The following is an 8,044-nucleotide window of genomic DNA, read 5'->3' as shown; positions in this document are numbered from 1 at the left end:
AGGGCTAAGTGGGAAAACATCCCTGCCTAGAAAGACATATGCAAGGTTGAGGGATGGAGTGGCTGGGCTTGGAAATGAGAAGAGATGCTTCAAACTTCCATTAATATCATCTCCAATGAGGCAGATGTAGCAAAGAGCAGACAGAAATCAAGGCAGAGGACAAGGAGTATAGGTGAAGATGTGACCCTTCTTGAGTAGAAGCAGACTACCTATGCTGCAGAGGTATCACAGACCCAAATCAAGAGGCAGGAACACCTACAAAAGCTGGGTGTTGCCACACCCCTCTGATGCCTGCCTCACTTACCAACTCTAGAACTATAGCAGCTGCATCAGACAGATGGGTACTTTCCCTCTTGGATGCTATTGCATTCAGGATTCTTCTACCAAACTGCTTCCCAGGAGTATAAAAAGAATCCTCCACCTGAACAATAGTAAGCAATACAGCTGATGATTCTTATGGAGCAGCTTTTACAGAAAGCACATTTCAGTGTGTGTAAAACAAGTAAATAATACCTATTTTCAGTGGTAGCTTTTTAATTTAGCCTTATTCTTGGGATGTGTTTAGAATTCTTTCCAAATCATCCAGAATTATAATTACTTCAGAGTCAAAACCTCCTTGGGATTGCTTTGGACCTTAAGCCAACTTAGAATCAAAAACCTCTATTGCTTTTCCCAACTGCCAGCTGTGGTTGTTTCAGTCTAGGAAATTGTGATTTTCCTCTTTTACAGCTTAATTCTGAGATATCACAACTTTCAGCCACAGAATTCTACTTTCCTTCTGTATACTTTAAATAAAAAGGAAACAAAAAAAGTTATGCCAGAATTCTCTACAAAGCTTTGTTGGGATTTTTCTGTCTAAAGGGTGTTTTCCATTTTGTGTGATTTTTTTTTTTTTTTTTTGGAAGGAATGAAAGACCACTTTCCCATGTCATCTCGCTTTTACCATTGCTCCATCATCACCCATTTTGGGTTTTTTTTTTTCTGTCTGGGCTCTTATTTAAGGCATTTTGTATACAATAGTACTCTCAGCAAGGGTTAGCAATTTTCAACTTTTTAAGGTGCACAGTAAGGAGTCTGTTCTGAAAGACAAGAAGTGGATACATTGAGTTGCCTACCCCACCAATTTCTCCCTCTCTTTCCATCCTTTCAGAACTCAAATTTGTTCAAGTGTCTACATGACTCAGAGAAAGGCAACTTCACCCAAAACTCCAGGGGGTAGATCCTGATTTGTTCTTATGCAAGCATGGTAATCATATTCTCCTTTGCCAAATGTTGGTCTATAAATGAGCATATGTCCCAAAATTCTGACCAATGAGACATGAAAGGAAATCTACTTTGAGCTTCAAGGAAAAGCTTCTCATTTCTAAAAAGGAAACACTGGAAGAGGTGTGCCCTCTTCTTCTTTGGGAGAACTTCTACATCCCATTTTCATACCTAGAACTACTAGACTAATAGTATGAGGATGAAATCAACATACAGAAGAGAACAGGGCCACAAAAAGAGAAGTGAAGCCTAGGCCCTGATGAACTGAACCTGTAGCCCATACCCAATCTCTAGGGTCTTCTTAGGTGAGATAATACATTTTTCTATGGTTAGTCCAGACCGAATGGAGATTTTTCTCTTCCTTGCAGCCAAAAACGCCCTAATAGCTACAAGGCCCTATAGCAAATAGAAAAGTTTAGCAAAGGCTTTAGAACACAGATTTAACTTGGTTGCGTATCTCTCTCCTTGTCCTAACACACAGTCTGATTGCTGTCAGAAGTGTCTGTAATGTGATGAGAAGATGTATGGGTAGAAGTGCTTAGTTTGCACTAAACTCTTAACATTGCAATTATATTAAATGTTTGACGGCTTTAGTGAACGACTCTGTGAAACTGGTATGTTGTAGAATTGGAATGAATCTTTTTTTTAAGGCAAAATCGGTGGAGTTTGAAGTCCCAGTGGCTGAAAAAGTCCTAAGAGATAAACCTGGAAGCAACAGTAATGATTTCCAAGGGAAGTAGACCATGGAACAGAAGTATCTCTTGTTCAGGACTAGAAGGTTAGTGATGAATAACTACATAAAATCATAAAATGTGGAGAGAAAAAGAATGTTATTTTGTGAGGATATAGGACTCATGGAAAAATACACGGTGGAACCAGGAATTGGGTTCAGTGACAGCCATGTTTCCTAGGGCTTTATATATTCCTGTTTGTGACTCACATCTGGCCCTTTTTCAGGGCCTGAATTTTTCCTTAGGATTTTGTTTTTTTTTTTTTTCCGAGATGGAGTCTTGCTCTGTCGCCCAGGCTGGAGTGCAGTGGTGCGATCTCTGCTCACCGCAAGCTCCGCCTCCCGGGTTCACGCCATTCTCCTGTCTCAGCCTCCCAAGTAGCTGGGACTACAGGCACCCGCCACCACACCCGGCTAATTTTTTGTATTTTTAATAGAGACGGGGTTTCATCGTGTTAGCCAGGATGGTATCGATCTCCTGACCTCGTGATCCACCCACCTCAGCCTACCAAAGTGCTGGGATTACAGGCATGAGCCACTGCGCCCGGCCAGGATTTTAAAATTAGGAGTAGGATCTGAATTTTACTAGAAATTTACCTGAATCCTCTTAAGCTCTGGCACCACTTTCACGTGTGCGTCTAATAATAATAATTAACATTTATGTAGAATTTATGCTTTTCAAAACACTTTCACTTTTATTATCTCTCTCGATCATCCCCATATCCCTATGAGATAAAATTGTTACCTTCATTTAATCAATGAGTAAACTGGAGGAAGATAAATTAAATAAGTTGCCCAAGATCATACAGCTAGCAAATAGAAGAGATGAGTACCAGTGTCTTCCAACTTCAAGTTCAAAGTTTCCACTTCACTCTGGCCCTTCCTGCTTCCTCATTCCTGTAGGCTGTAACAAATTTGAAGTTATGCTACTGATCAGCAGCAGTTGGTTTGAAAATAAGAAATCTTTGTATTCAAATGTAAACATGAATATTTGAAAATTGCTAATGTGGGCCAAATGTTGGACTCAAAATGATTGCCAACCTCTTTTGTGCACACAAGCTCCCTTAAACCATTTGTTTTCATGTAACATTTAGCTTAAGATGTAATACACAATACACATATAGTGTTTCCCATGTACAATGTTTTCCAGCTTCTAATTCACTTTAGGCCATCAAAAGAGAACATAAAATAACTCCAGAGCTTTAGACTTTTGCTATTACATTGTGGAGAGGGAAAGGAAAGAGTGGGAAGAGTTTTTACAACTGAAAAAATCCAGATTTCTTATTAGTCATGGTCTAAAAATGACAAACCCCTGCCTATTCAGCAGCCTTCCCCCACTCTACCTTCCAGCCCACAGGCTGCAGCTGGCAGAGCCTACTGCAGATCTCATTTTTCTGCCTGGCAATTCATCTATAGACCTGAGCAGGGAACCCATTTTTGCACAAGCTGGACCAGTCCCCGTGGCCTTGGGGACACAGTACCACCCAGGAAGGTGGGAATGAAGCATGCTAGAGTATCCAGCTACAGTTCCAGCCCCCAGCCATGGCACCTGGCCACCCACGGCCCAGCAAGAAATGGAGCCAATACCAAGATCTCACCACATATGCAAGCCCCCTTCCCCTACCAAGAGCACACGGGTAAGCTAAACAAGGTCACCCTGAATACTGCCCTGCACTTCCCGTCCCCCGGAGGCTTTGTTTATTCAAGTTGATGGCAGTCAGGAGAGGCTGGTGAATGAGGTGATGAAGGTTACCTTCCCATCATTGCTGGCAGAAAACAGGGCAGCCACAACTTATAGTTCAAAAGGAAAGGAATGTGTGATTTCTGAGAGGCTGGAAGGGGTCCCTTGCTCCCAAATGTATTTCTCGAACAAAACCTCCAATACAGGCAGCCCAGGATGTCTTTGAAAGAGTTACCTCCTTCCTCTGTTTCCCTCTTTTACTCTGAATTCCTCATCACATGGCCCCTGTTACAAAATGTACTTCCCTTTACAAGAACACAAGTCCAAGTCCTCTCCACAACCCCCAACTCTACCTCCCCTGTTCACAAAACCCACACATTTTCCCCGAGGCACAGAATAACAATCATTCATGAATTTAAACCCCCAACAGAGGCCTGGGCTCCAGATGCAAACAGCTCAGAGCAACATAGTTCAAACTTGTTTATACCCTTTTCCCAGGAGGACAGATACTTTCCATCCAATCAAGGTTCTAGGCCTTGGCTTCAAGGACAAGCACCAAAGAATTGGTTTATGTTTCCACTTCTATTGTGTCTTAAACTGGGGTTCTTGGAAATAGGCCCTGAGATGGAAAGTTGTCTTCTGAAGGTTTACTGGGGAGTGCTGTCAGGATGTAGGGAAGTGAGGAAGGCAGGATCATGCAGAGGAAAAAACTGACCCACAATGTGGTTGCAACACAGATTTCAGACTATCCAGTGGGAGACTCTGATGCTGGGATGGCCCCTGAGAGTTGTCCCAAATTGAGATAAGAGGCCAGGCCTTTTATACCCACATTAGCCAGCTATTGGCCATCAGCTGTCTTGTAGGAAGGGGTGCACACCTTGGATGAGGCAGCTCTCTGGAACTGCAAAGCAATTTCCACTGAGGGACAGAGCCGTGAGCCATTATCAGCAAATATTCCCAGGAGCTAGGAATGGATCCATCTATTCTAAAGAGGGATCTGAATGGAGCAGAACAGTATCAGTTGCAGCCTACCCCTTACAAATTCAGATCCACTCGCTTTTTATAGCAAAGCCTGCCCCCATCATAGGAACAGTTTTTCCAATATTCTGGTTGATCTTGTTTTCAGAAAAAAAAAAAAAAAAAAACTTATAAGACAAAGACTTACAAAAGAAAATTCTTGCTGTTACAGTTGGTCTCAAGGCTGCAACCGATACTTATCATTCTCTTCCACCACATTTATTCTAGATTCCTTTCACTCTTGGCTAGAACTTCTGTTAGTCCAAATGGTGTATCTGGTGGGATGACCCAGACCTTTCTTTCTGGGGGTTCCTAGCTCCTGATTCTCATGTCATTCTCAGGCAGTAGTGGCTTCACTTTTGTTATTATTTTTTTAATTAAAGCCAAGTAAGTTATCCCAGCAAATCACATAGGAGTCAAATATTTTCTTCCTCACCCTCTGTTTATAGCAATAGCCTTCCCTTTTCCTAAAAATGAGGATCAATTACTCGTAACAGAATGGAATTTCTTTCCTTGGCTGCTGGTCTCTTGGCACAAGGAGCCCAAAGTGACTAGGTAGCAGCCACAGTTTAAAGGTCAAAGGGCCACAGCCAGTGGCAGAAGCATCCTTCCTCTGAGAACCAGGACTTCCAGACCCACAGAGCCTACAGTGGTGGGAAAGGAAAGGAGCAATTCCCCAAGTGAGTCATCAAGGGTGATGGTGAGGGACCATTACTACTTCTCCCATGGTTTCCAGACCTATGCATTCTACCTATTGAAAAACACCATACAATGGCCATTGGGTGTCCCACTCCCATCTTAAAAATGGAATGCTGATGGGCTGACCTTGCCTTATGACTTGGGGGGTTAGACACCAACTGCTCATAATGGACAAATCATTTGATGTCCCACAGTCAGATATGCAATCTCTACCAAGGTCCAGCAGTGTGCCAGGCATTGCTTGCTGAGTGGTGTATACAGTACTTCTCTGCTGATGATGAAATGGCCTAGCTTCAAAGTCCTAGAAATCCATATTGATATTTTCCTATTGGCAATTCCCATAAATACCACGCATTTGCTGTCTTTTTTTTCTTTTACTACCACCAGTAGATCTAGTTCCATAGACATGGCCAGGCCATGTGGCCCAAGCAACAGAGCTGCTTCCTTCATAGCCTAGGCCTACTGCAGAGCTCTTTCTTTCTCCGGGCCCCACTTCAACCAGACAGACTTCTATGACCTCATGTCAATAGGTAAGAATGGTACAAAATATGCTGCCCCCAGAACGTGAAGCACTGTGCTTCTTTTTTGTGAGTGAGAAATGCAAGTTGCAATAAATTTTCCTTTACTTGAAGAATATGTCCCAGCATGGCACACACCATTGAACCCTAAAAGCTTCATTAATGAGACAGGCCCCTGAATCTTCACAGAGTTTATTTCCCATACTCTGGAGGACATACAACTTATCAAGATCTCCAATGTGCCTGCCACTTTCTGTTCATCTAATCTGATTAACATAACATGATCAATATAGTAGACTATTGTGATATTCTAAGGAATATTTAGATGGTTCCTGTCCCTTCAGATTATACAGGACAAGGGAGAAAAGTTAACATAGCCCTGGAACAAAATTATAAATGACTATTCTTATGTGTTATACTAAATATAAACTGTATTTTCTAATAAAAATGGAAGAAGACACATTTGTCAATTTGTCAGATTAATGACCACATACCTAGCCCAAGGCTGTGTTAATCTGCTCCAGGGGAAAAAAAAAAAAAAAAAAAAAAAAAACCCTTACCTCCAGCTTGGGACTTCAATTGTGGAAGCTACTTGGTCAAGTTTAGAGTAGCCACTATCATCTGCCATGATCCATCTGGTTTCAGGGAGCTATACTGGAGAATAAAATAGGGAGATGACCAGTCCTGCCTTCTTTAGTTCTTTGATGTCAGAGATGCAGTGTTGTTTCTGATTCATTTTTAGCTCAGAGAGGGAGGAGGCACTAGCAGAGACTTCCACTTGGCTTCTTCCACTAAGATAGCTCTTACCCTTCAGGTCAAGGGGATTTTGCCAACTCCCAAGTAAGTCCATTCCAGTTTCATATTCAGGGACTAGGAAAATGACAAGCAAGTAGGTCTAGATCCAGAGGAACCACCGTAATCTAGGTCTGCCCCAGGATTTCTTTACTACCTGGCCCTGATAACCTTCACTTTAAAAGTGGGGCTAGGCTGGCACTTGGGGTTCCTGATATTACTATCAGTCCAGACTCTCTAACAATCATCAAAATAGCTTATTTCTCTTTCCCCAATGCATAATTATCGGAGTAAATGGGTCCTTTGTGAAAAAAATCTAGGGAATTACTACTGACTACACTTGCCACACTAGAGTCCTTCTTCATAGGGCCCAGCCCAGATTCCATCAATGGGTATGGAACTGAGAAATAGTTCAGGCCTAGAAACTTGACAAGAGATCACAAGTTTTTATTGAGGTGACAACCATGAGCCTCTTAATTCTTGTTTTCTTTTGATTTGTATAAACTAAGCAATATCCTTGTTGGCTGTCCTTCCAACTTCCTTCTAGGAATACCATGTTCCATGATCTGCTAACAAGCCCCTTATCTTTCTATAGGCTGGCCTCATGGCTGTTCTTCTGGCTTTGACTGCTCGTTGTAATCATTCACCCCACTCCTTGATGCAGCCACCTGCCTCTCTCCCTTCAGTAGCCTAGCATCCCTATAATCAGGGAGTCCTGTTCTATTACGACATCTCCTGCCATCATTCCTGGCCTACAGGAGCCAATCCCTATTGATATTCTTATCAATGATGGTGTCCCTCTAGGACTCCCTGTATAACTCAGTCAACCAGTGGGTTTTCTGGTCTTAACGCAGTGTATCTACTCTAGCATGCCCACTTTTTTGAGTCTTTTTATTCCTCCCTCTGTCATTTGTCATATCCTCTACTTCACTTAGTGTAGGTGGACCTTCACTTTCTCCAAGTTTCTAGGAGCCATTTTAGAAGCATATTGGAATCCTTGTACCATCTCTTGGAATCCTTGCTAGTGTATTAAATTATATATTGTAGAATTCCATATTGGTAAACTCTCCCCATCCAAATTTATGCCCCACTTATTCTTTAGGCTCCAGTCCCATGCATAGTCTCCCAGTTCCTGCTGGTACATGTTGGCCAGGACCTGTGGCTACTTTATTGTATGGTCCCGCTCCTCCCTCAGCAGGCCCAGCTCCTCCCAAGCCTGGTTATATCATAACTCAACCCTCATTATTTGTCGAATGGAAAAAAAAAGAAAAGAAGAGAAAAAGAGGGGACATGGAGAGGTAGATGTTGAGACAGCAAGGCATTATCTTATAAGTCATCTGCTTC

General features: G+C 42.3%; 1 long non-coding RNA gene across 4 annotated transcripts in view; it reads right to left on the bottom strand.

The window, feature by feature from the left end:
• Positions 1-2,665: 2,665 nt before the first annotated feature.
• LOC105373891 (uncharacterized) overlaps positions 2,666-8,044 on the bottom strand; it is an 87,352-nt gene continuing 81,973 nt past the window's right edge. For 3 of the 4 annotated variants that reach the window (XR_001739888.2, XR_923928.3, XR_923929.3), the window contains 2 exons: positions 6,469-6,562; positions 2,666-2,897 (listed from right to left, as the gene is read on the bottom strand). This is a non-coding gene — a long non-coding RNA (uncharacterized LOC105373891). The remainder of the gene's footprint in view (positions 2,898-6,468; positions 6,563-8,044) is intronic. The other variant, XR_923930.3, reaches the window with a different exon arrangement.

Source organism: Homo sapiens, chromosome 2 (genome assembly GCF_000001405.40).
Source record: "Homo sapiens chromosome 2, GRCh38.p14 Primary Assembly".
In the NCBI taxonomy this organism is placed as follows: Eukaryota; Metazoa; Chordata; class Mammalia; order Primates; family Hominidae; genus Homo; species Homo sapiens.
This window is presented reverse-complemented; position numbering and strand designations above follow the sequence as displayed.